Genomic DNA, 14,622 nt, shown 5'->3' on the forward strand with positions numbered 1-14,622 from the left:
GGTTGCTGAATTGCTTCCAGCAATAAAGGAGAGTACCTATTTCATCAACTCTTTGCCCATACTGGCTTTTTATAATTTTGAACAATTTTTCTTAATTTTATAGGAAAAATATTGCTGGAGTCTAGTTTTAATTTGCGTTGCCTTGATTATTGGCAGGCGATCCCACCCTCTCTGAAGGGCCCTTTCCTATGAGGTGGCATGGTGGAAGGAGCACTGGACTAGGAGTCAGGGGGTCTAGTACATACGATCATGGCCGAGCGACTTGGTCTTCCTGGGGAAAGCTCCCTTTTAGGAAAACTGGGGTGATACTTCCCACTCTGTCCCCGACCCTGGTGGTCTGAGTGGTTGGTGGGAAGGCCGAGGAGGAAAGCTTAGTGTATTGTGAACGCAGAAGGTCCTCCCCGGAGCTCCAGGAAGGTTGGAGCAGCAGGGCTCAGCCCGAACAGCCTGGTGCAGGGCTCTGGATCCAGCTAAGGAATCGTCTGCCTGAGGCCTGGTGATAGGTCCCTGACTCCCTTGTGGTGATGCAGTGAGGTAGAATCCTTGTGTGCTCATGGCTGGATCCTCCCTGGGGCAGCCGTGGTCCTCAGAGCTGCAATCCAAAGTGCTTGCCTCAGCTAGGGCACGATGTGCGCTGCATATGGCTTGTGGGTGTGGCCCTGGGGAGAGCCCTATGCTGTGATGCACACGCAAAACCCAGCCCCTCACCTTCCCCTCCACCGCTTTTTGGGAATCTGCCTCTCCCTCCTCTTAGCTTTCCTGGAAGAGGGATTTGTCTGTGAGTGTGTCTGGCTGTCCTTCATCTGACCACCTTGCTCTAGCAACACCCCTACTCCCCTTTTTCCTTTTTTTTTTTTTTTTTGAGGAGTGGGGTCCCGTGCAGGGAGAGGCCAGGCCCCTGCACACAGTAGCCCAGTGTCTGAGGCCCCAGGCCTCCAGGCCTGCTCTTTACAATGCCTTTGTTGTGTGTTTTTTCCTCCCATGGGCGGGTGGGGCACGTGTGTAGGTCTGGGTGATTTTTGTTTGAAAGCCACCCCCTCCCCGTTCTCCCCCCAGCGCTGAGCTCATTGCCTGGGCTGATGGGGCTGCTGGAAGGAGTCAGCCTGCTCGGGGGCCAGCGTGGGGGGTGCTGCCAACACCAATACAGCGTGCACAGCCGCTACAATGTGCAATTGTGATCTTTGTGTAAACGCGGTCGGTCTGGGGCCCGCATGCTTATAAAAATAAAGCGTAGGGAAGCACGGGGCGGGGCGGGAACAAAAGGGGCTTTTTCGCTGGCTCTCTAATATGGTTTTATTTATCGGAATGCGCCCTCCTTTCCTTACTGGAACCTGGAGAGGTTCTCTGCCGAGCTTGGAGCTGATGGTATCACAGCCAGACGGTTTCATTAAATGCACAGATGCCTCTGGGCCCTGCCAGGGGCAGGACGGAAAGGGCTCAGGGCCGGCCCTGCCAGGTCCAGTGCATGGAAAGGAGAGCCCCATGCCAGAGAGGCTCCCACCAGGTAGGGGTGGGCAGTTCTCTCTGGCTCCTTCCCCTGCCAAGGGCCTCCCATTGCCCTCTTCTGTTCCACAGAATCAGGCTCAAAACCATTTTCCTGCAGGAAGTCCTCCATGATTTGTGCCTGATGGCTGTCAGGCTGATCCCAGGCTGGTGGCTGCCTTCTATTAACCAGACCCAGCATTGCTCAGCCAGTGGGTGGCCATGGCTGAGTCCGCCCCTTAACTTAGATACCTCCTGCTCTTAAAATCAGCTCTTTGGGCAACAGGTACAACCTTGGATCCTGCTCTCTCCATCCCTTGATGGGTTTCCTGCCATTGCCCACCCCAACCTTCCCACCTCTTTCCTGGTCACTCCTTGCCAGCCCCTTTCTCTGCCACCTGTGCAGTGGCCATGGTGTCCCATTTGGTCTTCTTGTGGCCAGGGAGCCTGTCTTGCTCTTCTCCCCTTTGTGCGGAAGCCCTGTCTCCCCATCCCAGCCCCTGGGTTGTGTTTGAACCTGCATCCTTCTGAGGCCAGCGACACAGAGGCCATTACCTCTGAGGCCACTGAGGCCCTCTTGAGGTCACAAGGGGAGTGAATGGCAGTGCTAGGGCTGGACTGTGGGGCTCAGAGGGCACAGGCCATTGCAGGATGGAGTAGGGTGCCAAGGGTATTGAGTGCATGGTTAGGCACTGGGTTCAGCCCTCAAGGTGACATCCCATTAGGAGAAGCTGAAGGGAGTCCCCTTCTCCAAGCCCTGTGTTCCTCTCCCAAGTTATATGCACTCAGACCCTCTCCTGCATTGGTTTCCAAAATGTGGTCCCAGAAGGCAGCATGAGCATCACTTTTAGGAACTTGTTAGAAATGCACATTCTCCAGCCCACCCCGGCCCTGCTGAATCCGAGTCTCTGGGGGCAGCACCCAGCAGCCTGAATGAACCTTCCAGATGATCCTGCAGCATGCTCACATTTTCAGAACCACTGCCCTAGAGTCTGCTCTAGTGACACCAACTTGCCTTTGGGACAAGGTAGAGGGAATGAGTTGTGGCTGGGTCCCAGGGTGGCGTGGCCAAGGCTGGCAGGCTGGAAAGGAGTTTGGGGGTAGCAGGGAGCTGCAGGGGCCTTTGGGTTTCTCGCACACCCCTACTGCTAAATAGCTGCTGAGTCTGTGCACTTCCCTTTAGCACCCCACACCCATCTAAGCCACCATTATTCCTCCCTGGACCACTGCAGTGACCTCAGAACTGGTCTCCCTAGACCTCATGCTCCCTCCAGTCTGTTCTCCATGTGGCAGCCAGAGTGAGCTTGCTGAAACGCAGACCTAGCCACGTCAGTCTGGTGGCATCCCAGAGCTCACAGACACCAGCAGCTCTGCTCTGCTTCCCCTTCCTCAAGGAAGCCAGATCCCTCCCTAACACATTTCACTGCATTTTATGTCTATTCTTCAAGGCTCTGACCCAAATTGTAATTTTACGTTAGCTTGTGTGGATATTTTATATTTAGTTCAAATTGTATTCTCAGCCCCTAGCACCTAGCACCTAGCCTGGCATAAAGAAGGCACTCAATACATGCTTGCTGGATGAATGAATGAATAGATGAATATACCATACAGGCACTCACTTCCCCCAGCTGGACCCTGCTTCCAGCAGCCACAGCTCAGGAAGCGGCAGAAAAGGGGATGCTCTCTGGATCTTGTGCCCATTTGCCAGGACCCAGGCTCCATGTCCCCACCGTGGCCTCCAGCTGGCCTCATGGTGGGGCTAGGAGAGCCCCATAGGGAAGATGCATCCCAGCATGAATGTTGTTGCTCCAGAGTGGCAGCCACAACCCTGCTCCAGCTTTGTGGCCCCACATGGCTCTGGAGAAGACATCTCTCAGGGTCCCTGCTGTGTCCTGTCTCCCCTCCCCCTCTCCGGCCCATGCAGATCCCTATGCCATCGTCTCCTTCCTGCACCAGAGCCAGAAGACGGTGGTGGTGAAGAACACCCTTAACCCCACCTGGGACCAGACGCTCATCTTCTACGAGATCGAGATCTTTGGCGAGCCGGCCACAGTTGCTGAGCAACCGCCCAGCATTGTGGTGGAGCTGTACGACCATGACACTTATGTGAGTCTGCCCAGCTCCTGCCTCGTCCCCTCACAGGGAGGGACCATGTGCAAAGGTGGGGTCTCCAGGGACTCGTGGCTGCCCAGCCAGATGGGTGCTCTCCTAACTCCACGGGCCCTAGAACAATTAAAATAATTTTAGAGTCATTAAAAATGGATTGCTAGCACAGATGCCGTTCCCACAGCAGACATTGCTCATCAGTGGAAGGGAACATATCCGGAAAAGGCGCTTGGTTGTGGGTCAGGGGCTTGGGTTTTCTCTGCCTCTGCCTCGCCTGTGTGATCCCAGGCCAGTCCCTTCTTCTCATCGAGGAGCTGCGTGGAATCCTTAAATGTACATCAAACACTTACGTTACTGGCTGAGTGGCCCTTCACTTGGGGTTCCTTGTTTAGGTGGGAGCCCAGACACCCACACAGTGGAGAATCCTCCATGTGAGAGCACGGGTCCCCGAGTGCCTCTCAACTCTGTGCCACAGGCAGGGCCTCTTACCACAACTGTCCCACAGGACCTCCTGTGGTGACAGGCGAGCTCTAGGGCTGTGCTGTCCAAAAAGGGAGCCTCTAGCTGCACGAGGCTGCCCAGCACTGGAAATGGGACTGGTGCAGCTGAGAAATGAAATTGTAAATTTTATTTCATTTTAACGAAGTAAAATTAAAATTTAAATAGCTGCAGGTGGCTGGTGCTCCTGTATTGGACAGAGCAGCTCTAGGAGGCTCCCAGGAGGGAGAGAGTGCTATGGGCTGGAATGTCAGGAAAGCCTTTGGGAAAGACCCAGGCCCTGGAGGAAATGTGGGGTTGGGGTGTCAGTGCGAGGCAGAGGCCTGGAAGGAGGAGAAGGGAGTATGAGGCCAGGGGAGCAGGAGAGTGCTGACGTCAGGGCAGCATTTTCCGAAGAGGAGGCTGGATGCTGCCGGAAGAGATCCACTGGGCGCAAGGTAAAGAGGCCCGGCCTGCGCTGGAGGTGGCGGTGGGATGAAAGGGGAGGGGCTGGGTTTGGAAGACATTGTCAGTAAGAGTTGCCCTGACCAGACATCAGGTTCCCTGGGTGGGTGTGGTGAACAGGGGTGGGGGAAGGTGCTGCTGTCTATATGCCTCACCAGATGGCAGGGGCAGCTGGCCATGGGTAAGCTGGCCTGGGCTGGGGATGCAACGTTGGGGTGCTTGGAAGGAAAAGCTGGTACCATGGGAAGGAATGAGCAACTGGAGGAAGAGTCCATGTGGGACTGTTTGGAGAAGGGCACAGGCCCTGGCACCTTCGGAGCAGGAGGGAGGCAGGCGGCAGGGCTGGCACTTCTCGGGGGGACTCGGCAGGACTGAGTGCAAGTGCAGAACAGGGCGGGAGGGCAGCGGTATGAGCTGCAGGCTGCCAGAGCCCTGAGGGGGCTTGCCCCTGCATCCAGTGTGACAGATCTGTCTTCTGGGCGGCAGGGAGTTAAGGAAAGTGCCTGAAGAAAAGGCACCTGCCTTGATGAAAACATCATTTTGTCCAGGCTCATTTAATTTGATGAACGTGATCACAGTTTCCCCATTTGCAAAGTGGGTGGGAATTTAAGGGTGAAATGAGCAGGAGATACAGAAGTCCCTGGAACTGCAAAAACCTGTACTGCTGAGCGCATTAGAGAAATGCCAGGAGGCCGTCTCTCTGGTCTCCAATAGTCTTAGCGCTGATTAAATTGTAGCAGGGCAAACACTAGTTGGACAGTGTTGAACTGTCCAGAGGGACTTCCCGACCATGATGGGAATTCAAACCTAGTGACAGTCACCACAGGCTGCTCACAGCTTGTTTTGTCCTTGAGTCCTGCTAAGGAGAGCAGAATTCACCATTCTGTGGGAGGGGGTGCCCTTACTACTGAGGCCCTTTCTAGTTCAGAAGGCACATGTAGACCTGATCTCTCTGAGGCTCCCTAGAGCCCTGGGTAAGGGATGCTGATTCTTGTCTCTCTACGCTTGGTCTAGGGTGCAGACGAGTTTATGGGTCGCTGCATCTGTCAACCGAGTCTGGAACGGATGCCACGGCTGGCCTGGTTCCCACTGACGAGGGGCAGCCAGCCGTCGGGGGAGCTGCTGGCCTCTTTTGAGCTCATCCAGAGAGAGAAGGTGAGGCTGGTCTATATCCAGATCCAGGAGGCCCAGGCAGGAGTGGGGTGGGGGCCAACCCTCTGTGGGAGCCTGGAACACCTCCTCTGAAGCCAGGCCTCCTGCTGAGACCCATTTTCTGAACCCTAAGTCAGGACACCATCTAACATCGGAATAGAATTTGGGGATCAGGAATGTCTGAGTCCTCTGGTCACTGGATTTAATCTTCCTTGGGTCATCTCCTGACGTGGTTTCTGGGAGGAGGACCTCTGTGGTCTGATTAAGGGAGCCTTAATTGCCACAATGTGAGGGACTCCAGGGACAGGCAAGGGCAGGATCCCCGTTGCATTGCTGGCTTCACCATGACCTAGCCTCATGGCCCTGGGCCAGCCACTCCCCTGCTGTAAAATGAGAGGTTTGGGTTGGACCTGTACCTTCAAACTTCCTCTTAGTATGATGTGAACCCGAATAAGTAGACTGAATAGGAGTAGGGCTGCTCTGGGTGAAGTGTCTGGAGGAATGGGCACAGTGCCAGCCTAGCATCCCTTCTACCCTCAAGGAATAGAGGCTGCAAACCATGGACTGTCTGATCACTGACATAGTCCATGAGTGTCATGAGGGTGATGGGGGCCTTAGGTGACAAGCACATGACCAGAGCTCTCTTTTCTTCACTCCAGCCGGCCATCCACCATATTCCTGGTTTTGAGGTAAGTCTTGCTCTGACCTTTCCTTCTTCAAACTGATTGCCAGTCTCCCTGTGTTTGGCATCTCTCTGGGTTAGGAAGGGTGGCCAGGCATTACCGCGATCCTGCCTCAAGCCCCCGGGGAAGCTCTTTCAAGCAGAGGAGGGCCCGGGCTGGAGGGAGCTCAAAGTCTCTGCCAAGCTCAGGCCTTTGCTGCCCTTCTCTGCGAAGTCCAAGAACCACAGAATCCCAGATGGAAGGATCCTCATAATTGTCCAGCCCAGTGGCTTTCAGCTGGCTGAGCATTAGAATCTCCGGGACAGCACTGCCCAGGGAATCTTAATGCACATCCAGGACTGAGAATCACTGACTTAGCCCCAGGGTTCTGAAAGTGTGGCCCATTCTTGAGTCCTACTTCAAGCCCACTGAAGCAATTCTGAGGGCAGCCCAGCAACCTCTGTATCAACTTGCCCTCCAGGGCCTTCTCACACATGCACGAGTTTCAGAAGCCCTGATTCAGACCACATTTCCCACTGAATTGTTCTTACCAAGACCTCATTTTCTTTCCTCTTCCTGGACGGGGGCTTCATTCCCTTACTGCTGCTCTCCTTCCTTCTTCTGGAGGTCTTGGTAGAAAATGTTGAGCTTTGACTGGTACCCAGGTGCACTGGATGCATTACCTGATTACATGCCAAGTTCAGCTGCATCTATGAGAAGTAGTCATCTGGGCTGTGTTTGGACACCTCCATTGTCCTTCACAAGGCAGCCCACACAATTTTTAGAGAGTTCTTGGGAGGCCCTCCCTTCATGCAAGCCCTCCTTCACCAGCCCTGCCCCTCCAGCTCTCCCTCCCTGTCCTAAGCTCCTGCTCTCAGTGCTGCCCGCTCCTGGGGGTTCTAGGTTGGTTCTCCTCAGCTTGCCAAGGCCACAGGCTCCCAAGCCCTTCCCATCACCTGCTGCTCTTCTCTTTCCTTTTGTTGCTTCCAGAGATTCCTGGCGTCCAGGCTTATGCTTTAGCCTTTCCCAGCGTCCCTCTGCACTGACATCCATCACACCTTCTTTCCCAGGGACCACTTTAGGGGCGTGGCTGGGAAGTGCATCATTCTTACCCTTGGTGGGAGGTGGTTTCTGTTGGCTCCTCTTAGTGGTGGCATCTGGCATGCTGACCTCTGGCCCCGCCTAGTGCGCCTTGATACTAATAGAGAACTTTTTCCCCTTCCAACCCCTCTCACCATCTCCTGGATGTGCCACATCCCATGGCTGTGGGCCAGGTGCAGGAGACATCAAGGATCCTGGATGAGGTGAGCTGGGCGTGGTGGTTGGGATGGGTGGGCCGAGGTAGAGGGAAGGTGAAGCCAGCCTTCAAGCACACACCTGGAGCCTTCCAGGTTCCTGGTGCCCAGCAGGCATCTGTCACATGGAGACCTGTCTGGATTTTATTCCCCATGCTGTGTGTGGATTCAGGGCTGCCCAGAGTGTGTCCTGGGGGTGATCCTGGTCTAAGAAGGCTTGCTGTCCTGCTAGGAGGCCAGATTTCACCCAGACAACATGAATAGCAATACAGATTCTTAAATGATTAAGTACCAGGTGGCACATTTTGAAGAATAAATTGTTTGGAAGGGGCCAGAGTAGTCAAGGAAGCCTTTCTGGTGGAGGTGGCATTAGTCAAATGTCTTTATGCCCATCAGCACTTAGGAAGAAAGTGAGAAACATGGCTTTGGCTCAAAAGGCCAAGGACCAGTTTGGGTCCTGGCTGGTTTGGGGGATGGGGCGAGCTGGGGACCTCCTAGGGACGGGAAGAAGTTTAGAGTTTGCATTTAGATAAAGCAAGGCTGCATCCTTTGCCATGGGAGGAGAGATGCACGTTCCCTATGGCCTCCTGTGCATCTGTGGGTGGATTGTCGTGAGCCAGGCCAGAGGGTGGGTGGCAGAGACCTGGGTGGAGAGACAGGAAGGAGAGCCCTGGTCAGATGAGGCGTTGGGAAAAGGGCAGCCACTTCCTGCCATTAGGGAATCCCCAGACCGACAGCGGACACTATTTGACATTTTCAGTGTAATTTGGACTTGAAGTGCAGAGTCAGGATGTGGGATCCACAGGCCCCGCACCCCTTACCTCACTTCCTTTTGCTCCCAGACCGAGGTGGGGTCCGCCAAGTGAGCTCGCTGTAATTGCGCCTGACAGGCGGCCTCCTGCTTCTGGCTGCAGTTGCAAAAGACTGCCGATTTGGAAAGGGAGGTGGAGTCCTGTCCAGGGAAGCAGCACGGAGCCCTCTCTGTTGATTGAGTGCACTTTGTGGCCAAAACCCACAGCCTGCTCTGAAGAAGACCCAGCCCAGGGATGAGTTATTAAAAAAAAAGTTAAAATCCTTAATAACTGGATTCGTAATATGTAACAGTGAAGGCTCAGATTCCGAGGGCAGGGATCTGGCTGCAGTCTCGTCAGAAAGCAAATCAAAACTGCAGCTCATGGGCCAGAGCCCGAAGAGCACCGAGTGCCCCCTGCAGGGCCAAGCAGGCTGCAGGCTGAGGGTGGGTGTGGGTCAGCAGGGCCAGGGGAGAGCAAGTCCTAGGAGTGTGCTAGGCACAGGGCTGGGCCAGGCCAGCAGGTTCAAAGGGTCCAAGGAGGACCTATCCCAGTGGGATGAATGATCTGCTGGTCCAGGGACCAGCCCCAGAAGATGACCTTGTGACCTCCCTCAGTCCCAGGGGATAGCCCTGGGACCCCTAGCTCAGCCCATGTCCTTCTCACTTGAAGGCTAAGCCTGATGCCAAGATGCTGAGTCCTCTTCGCTTTAAGAAGCCCCAGGGCTGGGTGGTCCTTCTGTTGCCACTGGTCCTCCTGTAAGTAGGACCGCAGCAGGGTGTTTCTGTCTTCTTTGCTGTGACCAAGCTCCTGCCTTGTATCTCCCATCTGGCTGCTCCCAGGCTCCTGGCCCGATCCCTGTGAAGAGTGCTCAAGCCTTTCTGGAGGGCTGGGAGCCTCCTCCTGAGCCCCTGGCCATGGGAGCCCATGAGAGTCAGGGGGCAGTGAGGGAAGATGGGTGTGTTGGGGAGCTGTCTGGCTGCAGGAGGTGTGGGTTTGAGAGACTAGCTAGGAGGCTCTTGAGCCAGTTGAGATAGGGGCCTGGACTGGAGACAGGCCAGTAGGAACGGATGGGGCAAGTGACTCTGAAGGATGGTTTAAGGATATCCTCTCTTGTGGGAAGTGCCTTTCAGCTAGCGCAGCCAGGTGCAGAGATTTCCAAGCCACAGTGCCTGTGAATGAGATGAAATACTGTCTGCCCTTGTCGAAGGCTCCCAGAGCAGGACAGTGAGGGTAACTTCCTGGAAGAGGTGCCACTGAGCTAGCTTTTGAAGTTGGGATTGGTAGAAAATGTGGGGAGGTGGCCCAGGCAGCAGTGTCTTGGGCTGGGGGCATGTCACCTCCTGGATGTGGCCTGTTGGACAACAAACTTCCCCTCTCCCAGGCTTTATGCCCATCTGGGACACCTCTCTCTGCAGCTCTTGGTCAGGAAGTGAGGCTGTTGCATGGTGTGTCTGAGGCTTTGATGATGTCCGGGAGATCTGGGTCCTCGCAGACAGAGCAGATGGAGGGAAGGGTTTCCTTTTCGCTCTCCGGTCTGCATTTTCTTTGTCTTTCCCTCTCTTCCTGAGTCTCTTCCCACTCTCCTTTCGTGTTTCACTCTTCCTGTTTGCTCCTTGGCCCCAGCTTCCTCCTTCTCCCCGCCTCTTCTGAGCCCTCTGTCTGGTTTCTTTTCCTTTTTGTCTGGAGAACAAAGGCAGTCCTTGCTGCCAAGGGGAATGAGTTCAAAGAAACTGCAATTTTAGATTTCCTGAGAACTGGAGAATGTGTGCATGCACGTGTGAGCATGTGCGAGTGTGTACACTCTCGAGGGCACACACATGCACGCACACACAGCAGCTGAGGTGATCGTGGGTCCCTGAATGCCCAGGGCCCCCTAGGATACAGAACATGTGTAGAAGAAGACCCATGGGGCTTGTGATCCTGACCATTTCGGGGAGGTGGGGAGGGGAGGGGGTGTGGTTTAGAGAATTACCCTTGCTTCTGCTGCTGCTCTCCTGCTGGGGCAGGGGATGCCCTGGTGGGAGGGATCGTATGCTTTGTGGCTGATTTTACTGCCAGTTCAGGGGTGGGGGCCACCAGATACCACTCCATCCACCCATCCAGGCTGCAGGGTATATGGCTTTTACTCTAAGATGTACCCGGGGTACTCTCCTGTACCCCCAAGTCCACTGGAAGGAAAAATTTGGTGTTTTGCAATCAGGAAAATAAAGCCAGTGGTCCCCCATCCCCCATTCCTCCCCCAAGGCCTTAATTTAAAACACTGTTTTTCCTGGGAAGTGTAATTAGAGCAACATATTGTTCCTAACGAGCTGGGTGGGGCAGGCAGACAATGGAGCCCTCCCAGCCTGCCTGGCTGCCCCCTGCCTGGAGCTCCCCGAGGAACCAGGATGTGACTGCAGCGTCTTCTGTCCTCTGCTGGGTGAGGTGAGGGTCCATAGGCTACTGATGACCCGGCTGATGCAGGAGGCTTGCCAACACTTCCCTTGCCCTGGGAGCGACTCCTGTCTAACATGGTGGCCCCTAGACTGGGCTGGGGGTGCCCCTTTCATGGCTCAGGGCCTTGGTTCTTCGTGGTAAACTGGCCAGCGGGACTGATAGACTGAAGTGGGCTTGAGGATGGCTTCAGCTCTGGTAGGGGAGAGAGCTTCACTTGTTCTTGGGGTCTTCTTGGTCTGGGCTGGCTTGATCAACACTCTGCACACCTGTAGAACCCATCTCTGCAGCCGCCCCTGGTCTGCCCTGCATTTGAAGGGAGCAAGACGGGAGCTGGTCAAATGTGGCTTCCTCTGATTAGGCTTATCAGAGTCCTCCATCAACCCTAGGACAGTGAATCAGGATGTTCTGGTGGCACTTTCAGTCTACACCCCATCTGCCCAGCAGTGCTGAGAGGCTTCCCAGTTGCAGTGAGGGTCGCAGCACCCTCACTGAGAATTACTGTCCTGGAGAGGGGGTGCTGTGCCCCTCAAGTGGGCTGGACCAGAAAAAAAGTTGAAAACCAGGCTCAAGAGCTGGCAGAGACCTCAGGACTCCTGCCTGGGAGATGATCAGAGATCCCTTAGGACCATAGGAATGGGGTATGTGGGGAAAGGGTCATGTAGACGGGGTTAAGAGAGTCAGAGTCAGGTTATAAGACGTTTCTGGAGCGTCTTGGGGAGATTTTCTAGAGACCTTGAATTAGGCCCTAAAAATGGGTTAGATTCAGTTGGCAGTAAAGAAAGCCCATTGAACCAGAGGGAGTAATGAGCAGGCCTGGGGAGGACCCAGGGTCAGGCTAGAGCAGGCACGGGTGCTAGGAAGGAGGACAGTGCGTGTTGGATTCATTCCTTTATCCTCCCATCCACCCACTCTTCTGTCTTCACCCTCCCTCTTCCCCTTCAGTTATCCATTCATAATCATTTATTTGTTGGACGGGGGAATTCAGCTATGGTCCCTGTGTACAGAATTGCTGGTTTAACCAAGGACACAATCAAATGAACACGTGGAGATAGCATGGGTGATGGATTGATGTGTCTTTCTATGGGAATAAGTGTAAGTTGCTATGGGAGCTACGGGGGTACTTAAGCTTGGGGCACCAGGAAAGATTTAAATGGACACCTGCTGTCTGAATAGGAAGTACAGGAGGAGTAGGGGTAGAAGTGCATTTCAGACAGAGGGACCACTGAGCTCCAAGCCTCAAAGCTAAAAGAGCATGGTGCCTCCTGCAACCTGCTAGCATTCAGAAGGGCAGGGGTTGCGTGTGTCCCAGGAGGTGGTTCATCACTACTTGGGGTCATCAAGGGGAAATTTATCTCATGAGAGACATGCCCAGAGAAGGCAGCAGGAGCTGGAAGATTAGAGGTCTTGTGGAGGCTACTTTGAAGAGTCTGCACTTCATCCTGAGCAGATGGGAAGACATTGGAGGACTTGAAACAAAGAGTGACATTATTAGAAAGCCTGCCTTGGCTGCAGATTGTAGAACGCGTGGGCTGTTGGGAGAGGGTGTCAAAACCAAGTGAAAGGGGGATGCTGGTGAATCCAGGCAAGAGAGGGTAGTGGCTTGCACTGAGCAAAGGAGATGGGTGGGCGGGCGTGAGAGATGTTCAGGAGACAGGATTACCAGTGTTTGGTGATCAGTCAGGCAGGGCGATGAGGGGCAGGAGGAGCCAAGGGTGGCGTGGGAGCTTTTGGCTTGGTTGTCTAGATGGTGGGGTCAGACTTGAAGAGAGCAGGTTCTGAGGGGGAAGATGAAGAATCCAGTTTTGGACAAGTTCAGTGTGAGAGGCCAGTAGGACACATTAATGAACTAAGCAGTAAGATATTGGGGCTTAGCAGAGATGTTTGGGAGCAGAAAGTCTAGGAGAGGGCTAAGGAGCAGATCAGGGCTTGGTGGAGGAAGATGGGAAGGCTGCAGAGGAGGCTCAGCAAACAGGGTGAGGGCCAGCAGTGTGGATCCAGAGAGACTGTTTGGGAAGGAGATGAGGTTAGCTGGCCAGATGCTGCTGAGGGGGTGAGAGAGAGAAGAGCCCACGAGTGTCCTTCGGGTAGGGGACTCTGGAGACAAATTTCCGGGGAGGGGTGCTGAGGGCAGAAGCAGGGTGCACTGGGAAGCAGGTGGTGTGGACATGAGGGAGGAGAGGTAGTGGATGGAGACAGGATTAGAGAGAGGAGAGGAGGGAGCCTGCAGAGAGGAGGGCGCGGGTGGATTTGGGAGATGGGGATGTCTTTAAATTGGGAAGGAGCAGATCCAGGAGATAGTGTGAAAAATTGGGGAGGAGCATTTGGACGCATGGTCAGAGGGGGAGCCACAGAGGCAGGCAACCCTGGGAGGTGGCAGGAAATGGCAGGGAAGAAGCATGTCCTGGGACCCCTGGGGACAGCACGGTGGACAGAGATGGCCTTGGGATGCATGCTGTGGCCTCATGCTGAGGAAGCTGCCTGGACACACCTCTAACCACTGTCTCTGCCTGTCTCTTCCTTCTGCCTCCGCTGGGCCCGACGCTCCGCAGCTGTGTGCTCCTGCCTTCTTCCTCCAGGGCCTTCTCCAAACGGTATTGGAGCTTAACCTTCTCCAGGTTCTTGTTCCCCTGTCCTCAGCAAGCAGGCTCCTGAAGATGCGGAGCCTGGTCCCCAGCCTTTAGAGAGGAATGTCATCACCACGGAGCTCGAGGGAGCCCCGAGGGACAGACCGAGGAAATGAGGGATAAAGTGGATACTGCCCAGCGTTTGGGGGCCTAGAGAGGAAATATTCTGGGAGGAATGTATTCATGAGTTTTCCTTAGTGATTTTAAGAGAACAAGTGTATGAGAAAGATTGGTCTTTCTGCCACTCCACTCAGGGGATCCTGGGGCTGTTCCCTCCCTGATGGTTTTTTTTTTTGGCCCCTCTTTGTCTTGGGTTTTTGGCTCTGGGTCCATATTGGGTTGGGCATAGCCATAAGGGGCCATGAACAGACCACAAGCAGGCATTCAAGTGCAACCCTGTCTTTAAAGAGGACACCCTGCTGTGCTGCCACCTGCAGCTGGTGGCCTTGGAGTGCCCAGGGAGGACATCAAACTGGGGGTCCCCATAGCAGCCAGGTCACTGCAGAAGCTGTGTAGGCCCTGCCTCCATCCTCCAAGGGCACCTTTCATGTGGACTGTGACATGCATAGCAGCCCCTGGAGCTGTGCACTGCAGCAGCCCTGTCCATCACCCCTGCTTATCAGACGGTCAGGAATGCAGGTGCTTCCTGCATCATGTCACCTGCATTGTGGGTCTGGAGGAAAATGATAAGTTTTTTTGCTTTATGCCCTGGTGACTTAGAGATAGTAATAAAGCCAGTGTTGCTCTGAAAGATGCTTCTAATGGCTCAGCTCTCTTGAAGTCACCCTGGGGAGATCAACACCAACACCAATGGCAAAAACAATGGTACTAACAACAATTCTAGTAATAGTTACAGTCACAGCCATTTACTAAGCGCCTCCTGTGTGCCAGGCGCTCTTCAGATGTGTTCTCTCATTTAATTCTCGGAGCAGCTTATCTCAGATCTTCATCTGAGAATACTGAGTCACTGAAGTTGAGTAATCTGTCCAAGGCCTAATGGCGAGGAGGTGGCAGAGCTGGAACTAGAGTTGAGGTCTGATTCTAGGACTAAGCTTCCAACTGCTGTAGGTTGGGGGAAACATGGTGTCATCAGGGTGTCGCTGCACAGGAGTGTGGCTTGGGTTGGCTG

The 14,622-nt window shown here is 54.4% G+C and overlaps 1 protein-coding gene across 14 annotated transcripts in view, besides 5 other annotated features; it reads left to right on the forward strand.

The window, feature by feature from the left end:
• DYSF (dysferlin) overlaps nt 1-14,622 on the forward strand; it is a 233,203-nt gene that overhangs the window by 141,597 nt on the left and 76,984 nt on the right. For all 14 annotated transcript variants that reach the window (NM_001130979.2, NM_001130981.2, NM_001130980.2 and 11 more), the window contains 4 exons: nt 3,407-3,588; nt 5,545-5,685; nt 6,342-6,371; nt 7,619-7,648. In NM_001130979.2, coding sequence (NP_001124451.1) covers nt 3,407-3,588; nt 5,545-5,685; nt 6,342-6,371; nt 7,619-7,648 — 383 coding nt within the window. The remainder of the gene's footprint in view (nt 1-3,406; nt 3,589-5,544; nt 5,686-6,341; nt 6,372-7,618; nt 7,649-14,622) is intronic.
• Nucleotides 2,864-3,365: an enhancer, noted in NCBI's record as "H3K4me1 hESC enhancer chr2:71825151-71825652 (GRCh37/hg19 assembly coordinates)". NCBI's record gives its function as "activates a minimal SCP1, AML or CMV promoter by ChIP-STARR-seq in primed H9 embryonic stem cells {active_cell/tissue: H9 hESC(primed)}" and the evidence as "EXISTENCE:reporter gene assay evidence [ECO:0000049][PMID:30033119]".
• Nucleotides 3,366-3,865: an enhancer, noted in NCBI's record as "H3K4me1 hESC enhancer chr2:71825653-71826152 (GRCh37/hg19 assembly coordinates)". NCBI's record gives its function as "activates a minimal SCP1, AML or CMV promoter by ChIP-STARR-seq in primed H9 embryonic stem cells {active_cell/tissue: H9 hESC(primed)}" and the evidence as "EXISTENCE:reporter gene assay evidence [ECO:0000049][PMID:30033119]".
• Nucleotides 7,544-8,743: an enhancer, noted in NCBI's record as "CDK7 strongly-dependent group 2 enhancer chr2:71829831-71831030 (GRCh37/hg19 assembly coordinates)". NCBI's record gives its function as "activates an origin of replication core promoter dependent on BRD2, BRD4, P300/CBP, MED14 and CDK7 cofactors, with strong dependence on CDK7, by STARR-seq in HCT116 cells {active_cell/tissue: HCT116}" and the evidence as "EXISTENCE:reporter gene assay evidence [ECO:0000049][PMID:35650434]".
• Nucleotides 7,544-8,936: a biological region, named in NCBI's record as "CDK7 strongly-dependent group 2 enhancer GRCh37_chr2:71829831-71831030".
• Nucleotides 8,642-8,936: a silencer, noted in NCBI's record as "tiled region #1514; K562 Repressive non-DNase unmatched - State 13:Ctcf". NCBI's record gives its function as "represses a minimal TATA promoter and a strong SV40 promoter by Sharpr-MPRA in K562 cells {active_cell/tissue: K562}" and the evidence as "EXISTENCE:reporter gene assay evidence [ECO:0000049][PMID:27701403]".

Source organism: Homo sapiens, chromosome 2 (assembly GCF_000001405.40).
Source record: "Homo sapiens chromosome 2, GRCh38.p14 Primary Assembly".
NCBI classification, from domain to species: domain Eukaryota; kingdom Metazoa; phylum Chordata; class Mammalia; order Primates; family Hominidae; genus Homo; species Homo sapiens.